The sequence below is a fragment of the Homo sapiens genome, chromosome X, assembly GCF_000001405.40.
Source record: "Homo sapiens chromosome X, GRCh38.p14 Primary Assembly".
In the NCBI taxonomy this organism is placed as follows: Eukaryota; Metazoa; Chordata; class Mammalia; order Primates; family Hominidae; genus Homo; species Homo sapiens.
In genome coordinates, this window is record NC_000023.11 from 152,979,436 (window position 1) to 152,999,251 (window position 19,816).

The 19,816-nt window shown below is 50.9% G+C and overlaps 1 protein-coding gene across 6 annotated transcripts, besides 1 other annotated feature; it reads right to left on the reverse strand.

Moving 5' to 3' along the window:
* PNMA5 (PNMA family member 5) lies at positions 9,389-14,681 on the reverse strand. 6 transcript variants are annotated; one of them, XM_017029252.2, is made up of 4 exons: positions 14,598-14,681; positions 13,222-13,351; positions 12,481-12,542; positions 9,389-12,286 (listed from the first exon to the last, which is right to left on the reverse strand). In XM_017029252.2, exon 4 carries the CDS (start codon positions 12,161-12,163, stop codon positions 10,817-10,819), a length of 1,347 nt encoding a protein of 448 aa, XP_016884741.1. In that variant the 5' UTR covers positions 12,164-12,286; positions 12,481-12,542; positions 13,222-13,351; positions 14,598-14,681; the 3' UTR covers positions 9,389-10,816. The 6 variants fall into 6 exon arrangements, with proteins under 6 accessions (XP_016884741.1, NP_001171853.1, XP_016884742.1 ...); NM_001184924.2 differs by having other exon boundaries at positions 12,467-12,542; XM_017029253.2 differs by lacking the exons at positions 13,222-13,351; positions 14,598-14,681 and adding an exon at positions 12,643-12,782.
* Positions 10,418-10,917: an enhancer, noted in NCBI's record as "H3K4me1 hESC enhancer chrX:152158397-152158896 (GRCh37/hg19 assembly coordinates)". NCBI's record gives its function as "activates a minimal SCP1, AML or CMV promoter by ChIP-STARR-seq in naive H9 embryonic stem cells {active_cell/tissue: H9 hESC(naive)}" and the evidence as "EXISTENCE:reporter gene assay evidence [ECO:0000049][PMID:30033119]".

Here is a 19,816-nt window from a genome sequence, read left to right on the forward strand (position 1 = left end):
CAGGCCTCATTTTACTTGGACTAAAAGCCAGAGTCCTCAAGGTGGCTGGCCAAGCAGGTGCTGCTTTATCCAGCCCCCACCACCTTTCCTTCTTACTCATACCATTCCAGGCATTCTCTGGCCTTGAGCTGTGTGCTGGTTGTCTCTTCTGCCTGGAATGCTCATCTCCCAGATGCCCACGTGGCCATCTCCCTTGCGTCCTTCACATCTCTGCTCAGATGCTACCTTCTTCCTGATCACCTTCATGGACCATCCAATTTAAAATTCTGTGCACACCCATAACACTCCTTATACCTGCTTCCTTGCTTTTTCTCTGTAGCACTTATCACAATCTAACATACTACATGTTTTCTTCTTATTTTATTGTTTGTATTTCCTTACTTAAATGAAATCTCCATGAGAGATTTTTGTCCTTTTGCTCCACTGCTGAATTCCCAGTGCCTATAATAGTGCCCTGCACATAGTAGGTGCTCAGTAAATGTTGACTAAATGAATGCATAAAATAGATGATTTCAGACAAGTTCTGTAAAATTATAAAGCAGAACGAGCTAGAGCTCTGGTCTCCACATGCTAAATATGGTCTCCACATCCCACGTTAGGCTACTTGTGTTTAAATAGAAATCAACTAAAATACATTTTTAAAATCCAGTTTCTCAGTCACACTAGCTCCATTTCAAGTGCCTAGTAACCACACATGGCTAGAGACTACCCTGTTGGGCAGCACAGGCCTAGAATATTTCCATTCCCACAAGTTTTCCAGGTAGAGGGGCCAGTAAGGGCAGAGGCCCTGAGATAAGATTAAGAGCCAGGTGTGTTTGAGGGACTAGCCAGCGGGGCTAGAGGGTGGTAAACACACAGCAGAGTGGGGGCCAGATCATGTAGGGTTTGCAGGCCATGGTTAGAAGTTTGAGTTTTAGTCTAAGTGATATGGGAAGCCATCCATGGCTTCTGAGCAAAGAAATGATGTCATTTGATTTCTGATTTTTAAAAATCACTATGAGTTATATTTGGAGAATGGACTATAGAGGAGCAAGAGGAGAGAGAGAGGAGGCTATTGCACTGCAAGTATCAGTGACGGTGGCCTGGACAATGATGGCAGTGGTAGAGATAGAAGTGGATGGAGTTTACATGTATTTGGAAGTAGAACTGCAGTACTTGCTGATAATGGAATATGAATCTATGAGGGAAAGAGAAGAAGACAAACTGAGTCTAGTTTTGGAATCAGAGCAATTGGGTAGATGGTGATGCCAGTATCTTGGGTGAGCTTATGAGCAGTTTGGCACTGATTGAATGGTGTGGCTTGGGAGCCAGAGTTTTGTGTTAGGAAAATTGGTATTGAGATGTTCTGTTGCCCAAGTGGAGATGTGGGTTAGGCACTTTGACATATAAGCCTAGAGCTTAAGAGGGAACTGGGCTTAGAAGCAGCCTGCCAATGATAATGAAAGCATGGACAGGCTGAGATCACCAAGGAAGTGAATGTAGATAGTAAAGAGAAGAGGACCCAGGGCACTGAGTCCTGCGGAGAATCAAGCAGAGAAGGAGGAATCAGAAAACTCTATCAGGAGAGGCCAGTGAAGTAGGAGGAAACCCGAAGCATGTGGTATCCCAGGAGCCAAGGGGAAAAAGTGCTTCATGAGGGAAGAATAGTCACCTGGGTCAAAATCTACTGAGATGTTGGTGTAAATAAGATGAGGACAGAGAATTGACCTTTGGATTCATCAAGATTGAGGTTGTTTGGTCACTTTGTTGAGTCCTTTCAGTAGCAGAATGGGTGAAACCAGTGTTTCAGAGAATCAAGGAGAGCATGGGAGCTGAGAAAGTGTGGGTGGTAGGCATAGACAAGTCTGAGCTTTGCCATGAAGTGGAACAGAAGAACAGAGTGAGAGGTAGAGGGATGTGCTAGTTAATTGTATGTGTCAACTTGACTGGGATAAGGGATGCTCAGATAGCTGGTAAAAACATTATTTCTGGGTGTGTCTGTGAGGGTGTTTCCAGGAGAGATAGCATTTCTATCAGTACAATGAATAAAGATCACCCTCACCAGTGTAGGAAGGCATCATCCAGTTGTTTGAGGGGCCAAATAGAACAAAAAGATGGAGGGAGAGCAAATTCTTTCTCTCGCTCTCTCTCTCTCTCTCGCTCGCTCATTCTCTCTTTCTCTCTCTTCTTGAGCTGAAACATCTATCTTCTCCTGTCCTCAGACATCAGAGCTCCTGGATCTAAGGCTTTCAGACTCCAAGGTGTACACCAATGGGCCGCGCTCCCCACTCCTTTAGCTTTGGATTAGAAGTAACACCATAAACTCCCCTGGATCTCAGGCCTTTGAACTTGGACTGAATTATTCCACCATCTTTCTCTATTCTACAGCTTGCAGATGGCATATCATAGAATTTGTTGGCCTCCATAATCATGTGTGCCAATTCCCAAAATAATATATCTATCAGCTCCTACTGGTTTTGCTTTTCTGGAGTGCTCTGATTAATGCAAATGGGAATTTGGAGGGTTTGTGTCTGTCCGTGTCATAGGTAAACAAGGAGAGCATTCCTGAGTCCTAACTAAGTCTTATGGGGAAGGGGTATTGTGTTAGTTTCCCAGGCCTGTCATAACAAAGTACTACAAAACGAAAGTCTTAAACAACAGAAATTTATTCTCTCACAGTTTTGGATGCCAGGAGTCCAAGACCAAGGTGTCAACAGGCTTGGTTCCTTCTGAGGGCTGTGAGGGAAGAATCTGTTCCAAGCCTCTCTTTTTTGCTTGTAGGTGGCCATCTTCTTCCTGTTTTACTTCACATTATCTTCCTTGTCTGTGTGTCCAAATTTCTTCTTCCTATAGGGACACCTGTCATATTGTAATGGGGCCCACCATAATGCCTTCATTTAACTTTAATTACCTTTTTAAAGACTATCTCTAAACAAGGCCACATTCTGAGGTACTGGAGTTAGGACTTCAGCATATGGATTTTGGGGGGAAATAAAATTCAGCCCACCCATAACAGTGTTTTTGTTGTTTTGTTTGTTTTTTTGTTTGCAATAAGTCATTTTCTGGAACACTGAGGGATGGGGGGATTTTGTAACCATTGCTGTTTTCAAGGATCACAGGGCTTGAGTAACGTTCAACATTGTCAGCAGGCACCTGGGGCCAGGAGCAGGGCAGCCAGAGGTGCTAGAGGCCAAAGTGCTCAGAGGACTGACTACTGTGTGCAGGACTGCAGGCGTGGGAGGCAGGCCCTGCTCTGGGCTCCATGAGGAGGGGATAGGGTCTGGAGGAAGATAGTAGCCTTGAGAGAGGCTGCCCCCAAATGCTGGGTGTCTTTGGATGGGGAAAAGCTCAGAGGGCAGAGTGTAAGCCCAGGCCCAGAGCCAGCCGAGCCTCTGGGGCCCATGGCTCAGGGGACCACAGCAGCAGGGGACCAGAGTCTGCCCTGCAGGCCCAGGGAAGCAGCCAGCAGGTGCCTCTGCTTTGGCCTTTGCACAACCCACTGTGGGTGAAGGAGTCGGGGCCTGGGTGGTGGTGCCATTTGAACAGGCAAAGAGAAAGGGGAGAGAGAAAAGGTCACATTCGGCTCTTTCCAAATTATCTTGCCCAGTGGGAGAGGACTTGTTCCCTGACCAAACTGAGGGTCGGGCTGCTATTTCTTGTGGCCCAATAATGAGATGCAGATGAACTGGGGAGGAAGAGAGTTTTTATTTCTATAACTGGTTACAGAGAGAAAACCTGGAAAATATCGCCAGACCAACTCAAAATTACAAAGTTTTCCAGAGCTTATATCCCTTCTAAGCTATATGTCTACATGTAAGTGTGCATTCATCTAAAAAGACATAAGTGATTAACTTGTTTTAATCTAGAACTAAGATCTGAGTCCGGAAGGCCTCCCTCTGGAGCCTCAGTAAATTGACTTAATCTAAATGGGTCCAGGTGCTGGGGTGATGACCCTTATTTTGTCTCCTGCTAAATCATGGAGGTGTGGAGAGTTCCTTTAATCTCCAATAAAGCTTGTTTGTGGAGGCCTGGTGAGTTTCTTCAGACCTTCAATAAAATGTGTTGAATCCTAAATGGGTCCTGTGAAAAATTCCTTCATTACTTTGTCATGTTTCAAGGCCCAGGAAAGGTCTAGGCAAAACTCTTGGTGGGCTTTTCTTACATTCAAGCCTTTGTATAAGGGTGCTGGCTCTTTCAGCTTTTAATATTTAACTTTACCACTCGGTCAGTGCTGAAGCAGTTGTTGTGGAGGCCTGTGTTAGTGATACCTGACCTGCCACAGACTGAGGGCTGGGAAAAGGGTGGCCCCCAGGGGTCTCACTCTTCTGTGCCAGGCCCTGTTCCTGTGTCTGGCAGCCAGAGGGCCCATTCCCAGAGCCCATCTAGAGCCAGACTGCCCAGGGCGTGACCTTCCTCCTGGCACCCTGCCATGGGAGTGGCTGGGAAAGTGACTGCTCTGTGGCGTCTTCATCTTCAGAAAAATGAAGCTGCCACACAGCTCACCAAGAGGAGGTGATCCCAGGCCAGGAACAGGTGGACGTCGGGAGTCCAGAAAGGCCACAGAGGGTGCTGGATCCTGTGGGAGAAGCAGCAGGGGGTCCCGGCCATGCCCCTAGGTTGGACTTGTCATTCCCAACCAACTGCAATGGGACATAGACTTACCTTACAAGGTAGTGAATCGACAGGTTCTCAGATGAGCCTAAAATTAAGTACAAAATATGCTGGCCCGCCACAGACCCCGGGGTGCTATCCATAGAAGGACAGGGCACAGGCCTGAGGACGGCACCCCTGTCAGTCCTCTCTGCTCAGGGGCAGACCCGAGGATGGGACCCCTGTTAGTTCATTCTGCTCAGGTGAAAGGCCCGAGGATGGCACTTCTCTCAATCCACTGTGCTGAGGAAACAGACCTGAAGACAGGACCTAACTCAGTCCCCACTGCTAAGGGAAAGAGCTAAGGCCACGACTCTCCCAGTCTTCTCTGATCAAAGCCAATGAGGGAGCAGGAGTTTTCTCAGTCCTCTCTGCTCAGGGGACAGATCTTAGGACATGACCTCACTCAGTACTCTCTACTCAGGAGCAATTCATAAAGGGACACCTCTCCACATACATGTCACTCAGCAAACAGGAGAACAGGAACTCTGTTGGTCCTCTCAGCTCAGGGGACAGGCCTGAGGATGGGACCCCTGTTGGGCCATCTTCTAAGGGGATAGATAAGAGAACAGGACCTCTCTCAGTCCCATCAACTCAGGGGACAGGCCTGAGGGTGGGACCCACCTCGGCCCATCTTCTAAGAGGATAGATATGAGGACAGGACCTCGCTCGGTCCCCTCAGCCCAGGGGACAGGCCTGAGGGTGGGACCCCTGTCGGTCCATCTTCTGATGGGATAAATATGAGGACAGGACCTCTCTCCATCCCCTCAGCTCAGGGGACAGGCCTGAGGGTGGGACTGCTGTCAGTCCATCTTCTAAGGGGATACATGTGAGGACAGGACCTCTCTCAGTCCTCTCTGCTCAAGGGACAGGACTGAGAATGTGACCCGAATCGTTTTATCTTCTAAGAGGATTGATGTGAGGTCCAGACCTCTCTCAGTCCTCTCTGCTCAAGGGACGGACCTGAGGATGGGACCCCTCTCTGTCCATCTTCTAAGTGGATACGTATGAGGACAGGACATCTCTCAGTCCTCTCTGCTCTAGACACAGACCTGAGTTTGGGACCTCTGTCGGTCCATCATCTGAGGGGATAGGTGTGAGGAGAGGAACCCTCTCAGCCCCCTCAGCTCAGGGGACAGGCCTGAAGATGCGACCCCCGTCGGTCCATCTTCTTAGGGGATAGATATGAGGACAGGACCTCTCTCAGTCCTCTCTGCTCAAAGGACAGGCCTGAGGACAGGACCCCTCTAAGTCCTCTTTTCTCTACGATAGATATGGGAATGGGACCTCTCTCAGTCGACTGTGCTCAGAAGACAGGCCACAGCACAGGACCTCTCTCTGCCCACTAAGCCTCAGGTACCTGAAGACAGCATCTCTCTCAGTCTTCTCTGCCCGGGGACACCTCTCCCACTGCTTTCTACTCAGGGTCAGGCCTGAGGACAGGACCGCTGTCAGTCTTCTCTGCTAAGGGGACAGACCTTAGGATGGGATCCCTCTCTGACCTCTTACACAGAGGATGGGCCTGTGGACAGGACCTCTCTTATGACTCTCTGCCCAGGGATGGGTCTGAGGACAGGACTCCTCTCAGTCTTCCTGCTCAGGGGACGCCTGAGGATGAGACCTCTCAGTTTTGTTTGCTCAGGGGACAGACTAGAAGATGGGACCTCTCTCAGTCCTCTCTGATCAGAAAGAGACCTGCGGGTTGTACTCTGTCAGACATTTCTGTTGTTCTGCACAGGGGACACCTGAGTATGGGACCTCTTTCAGTCCTCTTTGCTCATGGAACAGGCCTGAAAATGAGACCTCTGCCATTTCTCTATGATCAGGGACAGAGCTGAGGACAGCACCTTTCCCAGTTCCCACCGCTCAGGGTTTGGAGAGAGGCCTGTCTGCTCAAGAGACCCAACTCAGTCCTCTCTCGTTAAGGAACAGGTCTTATGATGGCACCCGTCTCAGTTCATTTTCTCAGAGGTATACCTGTGGACAGGACCTCTCTCACTCCTCTCTGCTCGAGGGAAAGACCTGAGAACAAGACCTCTCTCAGACCACTTTGATCAGGCACAGGCCTGGTGACGGGACCTCTCTCAGTCCTCCCTGCTGAGGGGACAGGCCTTAGGATGGGACCCCTCTCAGTCTTGTCTACTCCGGGACAGTCCTGAGGACGGGACTTCTCTGAGTCCTCTCTGCTCAGCCTCACCCCCATGATTGGGCTCTGATCCAGCTCCCTCATCCACCGCTCAAGCCCTCTGTGAGCCCAGGAGGCTGCTGCTTATTGGATGGGCTTGGTCAGCCCTTGGGCACCCAGGAAGGCACCTTGATGGACCTTTCTGTCCCCAGGCCACACATGCCGCCCTCCTCAGGGGCACTTGTTGAGGACTGTGCAGCAAAACACAATGCATGGTAGGAGCTCTGCCAGCTGGCACGCACCAAGGGCCTGGCTGGGATGAAGGGGACAGGTGGCCCCCCGGGGGGGCCCGTCCTTCAGGCCCGACAAAGTCTCCTTGCTCTGGGCTGGTGGGGAAGCAACTGGTTTCTCCCGGTACCTCCTTCCAGACTCCCTGGCTAGATCCCTTCCGGGTTTCACAACCCAACTGTCCAGCCTGTGTGCTCACATGCCCACTGACACAGTCACACACACATTCACTCACACACTCATGTTCCAGACACACTCACATGCGCACACACATTGAGTGACAAACACACATTGAATGACGCATTCATGCCTGCTCATTGACACACCCACATTTGCAGTCAGCGCACGCACGCACAATGACTCACAAACTCACACACACACTGACACACACTGACACACTCACAGTGTCACACACATTCAGCGACATGCATGCTCACCTTCAATGGCACAGCCTCATTCCCCCACACCCTCCCACTCACACACGCTCAGTGATGCAGTCACATTCTGTCACTTGGATTCACACACATTCTCAGAAACTCATGCACATGCTCACACTGACACACACACGCACACGCTCAAACACACCCGCTCACTCACACTCACACCTGCTTGGGAATCACGGCACACACAGGTCCACTCTGAACAGGGAAAACCAAGGAGCCCTGACAGGCCCTGGCAAGGTCAGCCAAGCTCTATGCCCTCTCCTCTTGCCCTGTCCCCAAAATCTGGAGGGGCCCTTGGAAAGTGAGCAGTTGACTTGGCCCTGCTGAGACACAAGGGACGGACATGCTGGGGTTGTGCCCAGCCTGAAGAAGGCAGGGAGAACAGAGCACAGTGGGGGCCCCAGGCATGCCTGCAGGGCACCCCGATGGGACACACTACAAGGGTCCCTGAGACACCGGTTAAGCACCTTCAGGCCGGGGAGGCTGCAGGCCCAGCCCCAGAGACCTGCCGCCCCCTGCCCCTCCCCGACAGCCCCGCAAAACTACCCCTCCCATGCCTGCACTGGCCTGTGTATGCCGAGTGTCTCCCAGGGCCCCTGCCGCCCTGCAGACCTGCTGACTGCAGCTCCGCTCAAGCAGACAGGTCGCCTAGATCCAGGATTCCTCAGCCCAGGTGGGCAGCCACCCATTCCCAGCATTGGCTCTGAGGCTGCTTTGGGGGAGCCTGGCTATCATCTGAGCCATGGGGATGGCCGGAGGCTCTGTGCTCCAGAACAGCCGGAGGAAGTGTGTGGACACAGACTGAGTGAGCCCCGGGAGACCCTCGCCACGTCCAAGTCAATGATCCCGTCCCCTCCCCACACATGTGCAGGGAGGGGCCTATCACTTGTCCCAGTTCTGTCGCCCACAGACTCTGGGCTAGTTAAATGGCTGATCGAGGACTACCCTCCATTTGTGGCGAGCTCCCTGGCCTGTTGGGAGAGAGAGCCAGTCCCAGGAGGGCTCAGGAGGGCGGGTTCCAGGATCCTCAGGCCCCCACCAAGAACTGCCCCTCTGGCCACAGTGCTGAAGGAGGGGTGTCTGGATTAGCAGCGCCGTCCATCCTGAGGGAGCCCTCCTCAGGCAGCATCCAGGGCTCAGAGGGCCTCGGGGATGCAGGACAGAAAGGGGTCACTCCCCAGGGCCATCTAGGCTTCCTGCTCATGGCCCACTGCCTGCTCCCAGGACACAGGAGTAGAGCGCCTCCCAGTACACTGGGAAGGGAGCAGGACAGGACCCAGGATGAAGTGCAGCTCCCCCGCCCTTCCTCTCCCCCTCCCCAAGACATGAGCACTTGGGATCCCTTTCTCGCCCACACTCTGTCCCCTTGGCCATCACACACACACTGTCCCCAAACATCCCTCAGTGGCTAGGCCAAGGCTGGCCACCTGCGGGCTGATCTGGGAGGATGGGCACACACCAGCCCCTACCCCACCCCGAGTCCTGCACACAGCTCTTCACAGGGCCTCTGACTGCCTGTCCAGGCCCTCCTGGGGCTCTTCTCTGACCTCGGTTGCTGGCCTTGGTTGCACACGTGGCCTCTCTGACCCTTCCGGAAGCCTTGAGCCACACCCCTACAGTGCTGCCAGGGATCAGGGGCCTGGGACCCACCTGCTGCCCCTTGCCCAGCCTTCAATGTCCAAGTCACTTATTCCTGAGGACACCTGGAGTGCCTTTGGTACCCAGCCAGTCACTGCTCATGACCACCAGCATCCTGTTGCCAGGCTCCATGCAGCCCAAGGCACCCCACAGGCCCTCATAGACCCTGCCCCACACACACCTCGATGTCAGCCTGGCCACTGTGGCCCCATCCCCAGCAGACCACCTCCCACCCCAGTTTCACACAGCAGAGGCAAGACACCACTGGAACACTGAACAAAATTTACTGAAGAGAAACATGAACTGAAACTGCTGAAGAAAAGGGAATCTAACACAGAGAGAAACTGCAAACAGCCACTACAGGTCACAAGTCCCCGGCCCCTCCCTCAGTGTGGCCCCCCCCACCACATCCCTCCTTCCATAGGGCCCCAGGATCCACCTCTTGCCAGGATGGTGGGCTCTGGCAATGTGTACTCGCTTCAGGGAACCCCCTCCTGAGCCCACCCGCTGGGGCAGGGCCCTGCCCTATAGACTGCACAGGACAGTCACAGGATGCTGGAAAACATAGCAGGGAACACCCCACCAAGTTGAGGAAACTGAGTCACGAGTAACAGCAGGGGTGGAACGCCAAAGCACAAAGCTTCCTGGGGAGCCTCAGGCAGCCCTGCTCCTTCCCGTGTCTGGTTGGTCCTCCTGCAGTCGAGGTCACAGTCACAAGGTGAGCGTCTGCCATGCCTCCTTCCCACCGTCTCCTGGAACTGCGCTGGGGTACTCTGGAAAGGAGCTGCTCAGATAAAAACACACACATCCCCAAGAGAACAAGCAGCCACTGGCCGAGATCTACACCGGCAAAGCAGAGGTGGAGTTCTTGACACGGAACAGCAGTGAGCAGAGCCCGGGCCTGATGATGACGCAAACCAAAAACAACTACCCACCCCCAACACATCCTCTCTTCTCTTCTTACACTTCTTCCTCCTCCTTCCCCTCTTCCTCCTCCCCCTCTTCCTCCTTCTCCTCCCCCTCTTCCTCCTGCTCCTCCTTATTCTCCTCTTCCTCCTCCCGATCATCCTCTTCTTAATTCTCCTCCTCTTTCTCTTCCTCACTGGTGCAGGGGCTTATGAATGCTGCCTTCCTGGGGCTCCCCTCATGCAGTGTAGATGATCCTAAAGACAGGCTGGACCCTGTGGCCTCCCCTGCGGGGCTTCACTTCTGCCCCACAGCTCTTCCTCAGCAGCCCTGGCTCCTTCTGGCAGAGGCAGGCCCCAGGCAGGCTCCTCCAGGTCCCACGTGGCCTGGGTGCCAGTGGGCATGCTCAGCTCAAAGTCCACAGGGTAGATATTTGGGGGTGTCCAGAGGACCAGGCCAGAGCCCCCAGCCACACCTTCTTCAGCCCCTGCTTCGCTGGGGTCCCCATCTGAAGCCCAGGCACCCCATGTGCTAAGTGTAGTGGTTCCCCGCTTGTGTCTCCTGTACCTGTTAGGGGCTATGGGCCCGGCCCCCACTGAACCAGATGCTATTTGGTCTTGGTTGGTGAAGTCCCTTCCAGCTGGTGGAAAGTAAGGGGGCTTGATCTCGACCTGGCTTCCCTGTCCCTCTGCCCCAGTCAAGTTCCCTGTTAGTGTAAGCTGCCCCTTCCCCTTGTTCAAATGTCCCTGCTGCCTGCCAGGGGAAGGAGTGCTTCGGTCTTCTGAGCCTATGTTTCCCAGGGCTTGGGATGGCTCATGGCCCCAGCCCCTGCCTCGTTTCCCAACTCCTCTCCTGCAGCCTGTGGCCCCTCCCTGCCTGGAGTCTGGTTTTCAGCCTTGGGATACGTGGCCTGGCCATGGTCTTCTCCCCTAGTGCTTTCACTGCCTAACAGCCGCCTGCGTTTCACTAATGGGGGTAAGCCTCCCTGTATGGTCTGGGGGCTGCTGTCGCTAAAAGACCTTGCCTGCACGGTGGCCTGAGGTGCAGAGACACTGGCTTCTGCTCTTGCCTGTCTACCGGAGGCCCCCCGGCCTCTCCCTGATGGCTTCTCCTTATTCTTCATCACTGCCTCAGTGTTCTCCCACTCTTCTTCATCTCGAATGAGCTTCATTAACTCCAGAAAATTGGGAGGACACCCTCGCTGATCCAAGAGCTCCAGCTTGCCCCTGAGGGCGGGGGTCATGGCGACCCGAGCTAAGAGATGTTTCAGACGAATCATGTCTGTGCTGCGCACTGACAAGGGGCTCTTGTGCACGGCTTTCTGCAGCAGGGGCTCTAAGCGCAGCAGGAAAGTGGAGACTTTCTCTCCAATCTTCGGAGAGGTCTGCAGAAACCTAAACTGAGAGGCTCTAAAGTCCTCTTTATCCCCAAAGATCTGCTTTAGGGCGTCAAGGCACTGCTCCACAGTTATGGAGTCATTGTTGGCCTGGAGCACCCGCATGATTGACAGAGCAGGCCCACGTAAGCTCTCCAGCAAACGCCGCCTCTTCTCCACCTCAGACACTTGCCATATGGGCATTATCTCAGTGACCTGCTCTAGCCAGTCTTCAAAGGTCTCTTCGCCTGGGCTAGGGGAAGCAGTTCCCGAAAACACTTTCAGTTTCCTGTACCACATACTTTCTTTCGGAGGCTCTAAAGGTGGGGATCTAACTTGGGGCATGACCTCTGCATCCAGGCTCTCGGCAGGGAGGCTGCAACATCCCAGGGCTCTGGCCACATCTGTCATACTTCGGCCCTCATCTTTCAGGAAGTAGTTCAGTCTACTGAGAAACTCATCATCTGGGTTACGGGGTTTTACCACCACTTCCCAGGAGCCACCCTTTCCTGGTATGTGACTGGGCAGAGTAGTGTAATTGACAGTGTCAGCCAGTTCAATGAAGACTGCCTTGGCATTGTCTTCCCTCCTGAACATTCTCCCTAGGACCCTGTATGCGCACAGGGGCTGTAAGCCTGCCTTCACAGTGTCCTGAATTTCCACCTCACTACACTCCATGGGGATGCCTACAATCAGCAGGGCCTTTCTGGGGTCCATGTCCATCCCCTTGCACCAATCCTCTAGCAGTGTCAGTGCCATTGCTCCCACTTTCTATGGACTGATCTAATACTAGGGCAGCAATCAGCTCAGTTTGACAGCACTCAAATAACTCTGAGCCACTGCCACGTAGGAAGGCAGAAGTGGTCCCAGGTTTCACACAGCCTGCAAAGCAAATGGGATGAGAGCATTGTTAATGCCCACCCCAACCTACGCCCCCAAGCACCCCTCCTCTGCCCCCACCCCCAAGCAGGGATGGAGTCCTTTCTTCCCAGGGTTCCCCAAGTCATTTTGGGGAGGGTAGAGTGTGGAGGTTCTCCCCAGGCAAAGATCTCCCCATCTCACCACTCCCTGCTGACTTCCTCCTGCTGTGGGTTCTTCCTCAAAGTCCAGAGGACTCTGCTGTGTGTGCTTCGGGTGCCTGTAGTGAAAAGGCCAACGTCAGGAGGCAGGGCCTGACACCTGGGGACACTGACGAGCCCTCCAGGCAGAAGAGGGCAGGAGACAGCCTCACTGCTCACTCGGGGCTATGTGGGCTCAGGTCACCCAGCACCCTCCTTGCTGGAGTGAAGGCTGGCAGCAAGAGAGGTAGAGTGGCCCTCTTTCTCAGGAATGCCTGACGGATGAGAAAGATGGCTGAGCTCTGCGCAATGCAATGAGAGTGGTGGGTGTGGAGATTGTGTGACAAGCTGCAGTGTTGCCATGGATACAGAGAATACCATGGACCATGGGTTGCTATTGCAGGGGAGTGTCATGTGGTAAGGCCAAGGTCCTTGAAAAGCAACAGGTGATGTCATTGGCCTCCAACCAATAAAGCGTACTAGCAAAAAGGAGGGTGGGAGAGGGAAGGCGAGATGGGCATGAGGAGTGAGTGCTGAAAGGACAGGAGCTCATGGTTTCAATTGTGTGGAAGCTGAAATCAGGCAGAAAAGGGACCCAGATAAGGTCCCCACTGCCAGACTGCAGGAAACCAACAACTCTTGCCCTAGAGATGGCCCTACCCTGCAGAGTCTGTGAACCCTGGCAGGCAGTCCCCTCTCCCCACTCTTTGCCAGGGTTCCAGAGCCCCTCCCAACAGGGCCCAACTCACAGCTGCTCACCTTGCTGGGTTGGCCCTGCTGGCAGCGCGGATGCTGCAATAACACAGCCACTTCAGACTCGCTCTGCTTTTCAACTCTATCCAGTTAGGCAGTTCCTGACTCAGGCGTGATGGGTCCTGCTTCACTGGATCTGTCCAAGGCAAAGCAGAGGTATTTTGCTGTGATTCTGTCCCACACACATGTCCCTGCCCAGGCCATGCCAATTCAGACTCTGCATAGGTGTTCACTAGGACCCTGGTGCAGGGATAGAAGAAACTGCTCAACTGACAGAGGGAGCGGAGCGGGGGGAGGAGTCGGGGGACGAATGGTGAGAGGGGTGGGAGGTGAGGAGGGAGGTAGGGGGTGGGGGCAGGGGGGCTGCTGGTAGGGCAGAAGGGATCCTAAGGTAAGGTTGCTGCCCTACCCCCACTGCAAACTCCATTCCCTCCCAAGCTCCGCCCCTACAGCCATGTTGCAACCCTTCCTAAGCCCCACCTCAAAACCTGCACCCCTGCTGCCAAACTCTGCCTATAACTAAGTTGCACCTCTACCCCAAGCTTAGCCCCCCACCAAGTCTAACCCCTTCCACCACCCAAGTCTAACTCGTGCCTCAAGCCCTGCCCCCACCCACAGTCCAACTCCTACCCCAAGCCCTGCCCCCTCACCAAGTCCAACTCCTACCCCGAGGCAAGTCTAACTGATATCCCCAAATCCCCTACCTCCATTCCCCTGCTCCCCCCAATCCCCACCCGGTTATCTACATACACCCACACCACCGACATCAGTGGAAGCAGGCAGAATCTAGGAGGGGAAGGTTCGAAGCCACTTTCCCTCAAGGGCAAGGGCCAAGAGCTACTATCCTGACTGCAGTGTCTCCGGGCAGGTCAAGGGTGGAATAGGTCTCCCTGAAGTTTGTTTGTTTTTCTCTGAAACGGAGTCTGGCTTTGTCACCCAGGCTGGAGTGCAGTAGCGTATCTCGGCTCACTGCAACCTCCGCCCCCTGGGTTCAAGTGATTCTCCGGCCTCAGCCTCCTGAGTAGCTGGGATTACAGGCGTACACCACCACGCCCGGCTACTTTTTGTATTTTTAGTAGAAACGGGGTTTCCCCATGTTGGCCAGGCTGGTCTCCAACTCCTGACCTCAGGTGATCCACCCGCCTCGGCCTCCCAAAGTGCTGGGATTACAGGTGTGAGCCACCGCGCCCGGCCAGGTCTCCCTGAAGTTCTGCCTGGAAATGGCAGGGATTCCTTGGCGTGCTGGGTGTGATCTAGTGGGATCCCGCCTCCAGGGAAACCTATGGCCACCAGCCCCTAGACCCCGTGGAAAATAGCAAGAGTTACTGGGGGGTTCCCCCGTAATCTGGGTTGCTGTCCGAGCCCGGGGTCCAGCTCCGTACCTGCCGGAGGTGCCTCCAAGCCGGAGTTCCCGCGCAGCGCGACCACCACACGTCTATGGCGGCTGCCGCCTCCGTGCTGACTGCGCCACGAGGCTGTGGCGGGAAGAGGTTGTCTGGTGACGACCGCCCCCCTACCCCATGAGCGGAACTGCACACGGCCCGCTCACGGTTGCGCACTGGTGACATAAACCCTCCTACTTCCTGCAAGGTGGTTCCTCACCCCACCCACCCCCGTGCCGACGACGGTGGCAGCCAGGCTCGCCACGTGCCATTTGGCCCAGCAGCCACTGTGGCTCTTCCTCATTGGAGGGGAGCTGTGGCGTCCCAAGCCCATGGGTGAAGGGCCGGGTGCAAATCACCCAGTGCAACGTATAGGCCACGTGAGCGCCCTTATAAACGAGTCATAGCCCTCGTTTATTTTTTATTGGACTGTTCTAGGGGAGGAGGGCAAAAAATACAGCTACTGCCTGCATTTCACAAGGGCATTAGTTTTTTTTCGCTGCTCACTGAGAGCCAGATGACTGAAAATATTCCATTCTCCCATTATTCTCCTGATTTCACGACCAAACATTACGCACCTAGTACCCAAACTGCTTCCTGTCGTTTCCCAAAGCAGGTTTCTTCCACAGAGGGAAGGTCCTGCGGCTTGCAGCGGCCCGAAAGTACTGTTCCAGAAAAGGGTGTGGGTGCGGCACAGGTAGCACACTTCAAGGTGCACACAAATCCCCTGGTAATCTTAAAAAAATGCGTGAAGAGATCTGAGGCAGGGATGGTTCCACTGAAAGCTAGGTTACTTGCTGCATATCCCTGCCCAGGCTGTGTGGAGCAAGGGTCTGAAGCCTATGATTACATTTCAGGGCCAGAAGTTGTGGACCTTTAGTGACAGAATATATTTGTTTTTCTTTCTCTGTGATTAAAAAAGAAAAGGCTTTTTCTGGTACTGTTTTAATAAATATGTTAAAAGCGGACAACATTTTAAATTTATGGTCACTGAGAAAGATATTTGCAGATATCACCTTCTTCAGCCAGGTGTGGTGGCTCACACCTGTAATCCCAGCACTTTGGGAGGCCAAGGTGGGCAGATCACTTGAGATCAGCCTGGCCAACATGGCGAAACCCCGTCTCTACTAAAAATCCCAAAATCAGCTGGGTGTGTAATCTGAGTAGCTGAGTAGCTGTAATCCCAGCTACTCAGGAGGCTGAGGCACGAGAATCGCTTGTACCTGGGAAGCAGAGGTGGCAGTGAACCCAGATCACACCACTGCACTCCAGCTTGGGCAACAAAGTGAGAGCCTGTCTTTTTTTTTTTTTTTTTTTGAGAAGGAGTCTCACTCTGTCACCCAGGCTGGAGTGCAGTGGCGCGATCTCGGCTCACTGCAAGCTCCACCTCCTGGGTTCACACCATTCTCCTGCCTCAGCCTCCCGAGTAGCTGGGACTACAGGCGCCCGCCACCACGCCCGGCTAATTTTTTGTATTTTTTAGTAGAGACAGGGTTTCACTGTGTTAGCCAGGATGGTCTCGATCTCCTGACCTCGTGATCCACCCACCTCGACCTCCCAAAGTGCTGGGATTAGAGGTGTGAGCCACCGTGCCTGGCCGAGATCCTGTCTGGAAAAAAAAAAAGACAATTCAGAGCCCATTAAATCAATCTCCTTCATGTGACAAGGAGAAAATAGTGCTGAAAGCCATTGCTTAGCTGCCTGGTATCACAACATCACAGAAGGTGATGTTTTGGAAAGAGGTTCTGCCTCAGTCACCTCTGGGCTACTGGGTGCTCCCCTGGCCAGACGTATACTTCAATTCATTCTATTTCTCACTAGAAGACTAGCTTCCTCTCTCTCTCTCTTTTTTCTGTCTCAGTCTGTTTTGTGCTTCTATAATCAAATACCTGAGACTGGGTAACATATAATGAACAGGAATTTATTTAGCTCATGTTTCTGAAGGCTGAGAACTCTAAGATCAAGGGGCTGCACCTGCTGAGGGCCTGGCATGCAGGCATCAAGACGTGAAAGCATGTGTAAGAGTGAGCAAAAGAAAGAGAAGAAAGGGGCCTAAACTCATTTTTTAAAAAAAAAATCAGGAACTCACTCCCACAATAACAAATCCACTCCCGAGATAACAGCATTTGTCCATTCACACTGGCAGAGTCCTCCTCACCTAATCACCTCTTAAAGGTCCCACTTCTCAACAGTTGTATTGGGGATTAAGTTTCCAACACATGAACTCTGGGGGACACATTCAAACCATAGCACTTTTCTTTAAAAAAAGTTATTGGGGATAGTGACAATGTTGAATTTTTCCTGAGCCCTGTGATCCTGGAAAACAGTGAAGGTTAAGAAACCCTCAGCCCTTTGTGTTCCAGAAAACAGCTTCCTGCAAAGAACCCTCCTTTCCATATGACTTAGATAAGACTTAGGGGATGTCACCCGTGTTTATGTATGACAATGCCAGACACGAGACCCTCCAAATTGCCATTCTTTACTTAATAAATGATAAACTGAACTGCTCGTTCTCTTGTGGCTGGGCGCGGTGGTTCACACCTGTAATCCCAGCACTTTGGGAGGCCGAGGCGGGTGGATCACGAGGTCAAGAGATCGAGACCATCCTGGCCAACATGGTGAAACCCTGTCTCTACTAAAAATACAAAAATTACCTGGGCGTGGTGGCACGTGCCTATAGTCCCAGCTACTTGGGAGGCTGAGGCAGGAGAATCGCTTGAACCTGGGAGTGGAGGTTGCACTGAGCTGAGATGGCGCCACTGCACTCCAGCCTGGAGACAGAGCGAGATTAAAAAAAAAAATGCTTGTTAGCCAAAGTTTAGGTAGCTTCTCTTCTTTCTCCAGACTCCTGAAATTTGGCCCACCTTTAGTCTGAGCCAGCAGATAACCTTAACAGGCCCTTCTCATAGGCTGGTCCCAGGTAGAACATTCTCTGATCTAATATCTGGTCATTCCACATCCTCACACCAAGTTCTTTCTAGGCTTGTTTGCTCCTCCCCCCGACCTCTTTTTTTTTTTTTTTTTAAAGCTCCTTTTTGCCTGACCCTTGAGTTGCTTGTGGAACTGACAGTTGGACACCCGATTGAAACATCCCCTCCCCCAGTTGCAAGAAGCCTTTCAAATAAATTATCTCTCATTAAGTCCTGTGATTCTTTTCCTCCCAAACTTTATTAAGGTATGATTGACAAATAAAAATGTATATACTTAGGGCATACAATGTGATGTTTGAATATATGTATGCATTGTGAAATGATTACCACAATGAGCTAACATATCCACCATTTCACATAGTTACTTTTTTTGTATGTGTGACGAGACACATACCTTCTTACCGAACTTACACCTGCTTTCTTACCAAACTTCAAGTACAATACAGTATTATTAACTAGAGTCACCATGCTATACATTAGGTTTCCAATACTTATTCATCTTATAGCTGAAGGTATGTACCCTTTGACTAATATCTCCCCTTTTCTTCATACCCTAGCCCTTGATAACTGCCATTATACTCTCTGCTCTGTTACTGTGAGTTTCACTTTCTTTTTCATTTTCTTTTTTTTTGATGGAATCTCCCACTGTTGCCCGGGCTGGAGTGCAATGGTGCGATCTCGGCTTAATGCAACCTCTGACTCCTGGGTTCACGCGATTCTCCTGCCTCAGCCTCCTGAGTAGCCGGAATTACAGGCGCACATACACTACCACACCCGGCTAATATTTTGTATTTTTAGTAGAGACGGGGTTTCACTATGTTGGCCAGACTGGTCTCAAGCTCCTGACCTCGTGATCCGCACGCCTGGGCCTCCCAAAGTGCTGGGATTACAGGTGTGAGCCACCACGCCTGGCCTGACGTTCACTTTTTAAAGATTTCACATATGGCTGGCTGCAGTGGTTCACATCTGTAACCCCAGCACTTTTGGAGGCTGATACAAGAGGATGCCTTGAGCCTGGGAGTTCGAGACCAGCCTGGGCAACATAAGGAGACCCCTGTCTCTACAAAAAAAATTTAAAAAGTGTCTGGGTGTGATGGCACATGCCTGTGGTCCCAGCTACTCCTGAGGCTGAGGTAGGAGGATTGCTTCAGCTCGGGAGGTTGAGGCTATACTGAGCTGTGACTGCACTCCAGCCTGGCCAACAGAATGAGACCCTGTCTCAAAAAACAAACAAAAAAAGATTTCACATACAAGAGCATGCAATGTTTGGCTTCCTGTGTCTGGTTTATTTCACTTAGCATAATATCCTCAAGGTTCATTCATGTTATTGCCAAGGGCAGCATTTCCTTCTTTTTTTAAGGCTGCTTGTGAATATATATATATATATATATAAATAAAACATATATAAAACATATATATGTTATATATATAACATATATATGTTATATATATAATATGAATATATAATATATGATATGAATATATAGTATATTCATATTATATATAATATATATAATAAAGAAAATTATATATAATATATATAATATATAATACATATACTATATAATATATATAAAATATATATATAATATATATAAATAATATATATATAAATATATGTTATATATATTATATATAAAATATATATAAATATATATTATATATATTATATATAATATATATATAATATATAATATATATAATATATAAAATATATATTATATAATATATATTATATTATATATTAAATATTATATAAAAATATATATAAGACATTTATATATAATATATTATATATATTATATATAATATATATAATATAGATATATAAAAAACATTTTCTTTATCCATTCATCTGTCAGTGGTCACTTAGGTTGTTTTCTTATCTTAGCTATTGTGAATAATGCTGAAATGGACAAGAGAGTCCAGATACCACTTAGAGATAGTGATTTTATTTGCTTAGGATATCTATCCATAGTGGAATTGCTGGATCATACAGTAGCATACATGGACAATTAATTTTCAACAAAGCTGCCAAGAATACACAATGAGGAAAGTGAGATGGAGCAGGGACCCCGTCTCAGGGGTCTGCAGGCCCCCTTAAGCATATAAATAAAGGAAAATGTTGAGTTCTTTCAGGGGCAATGCCAGGCACCTAGCTAGCCCTGAGAAGTAAATAAGCAAGTTGATAAGCAAGAAGGTAATAGCTTAAAACAACAGCCAAGGAAGCTACAATCACAGGATGTTTTCTTTCCCTATAGAAACTAAAGATAACATGTTAACATATAT

What these genes read in the sequence shown, in the direction of transcription:
- PNMA5 (XM_017029252.2), bottom strand. Translation starts at nt 12,163, where the DNA reads ATGGCACTGACACTGCTAGAGGATTGGTGCAAGGGGATGGACATGGAC.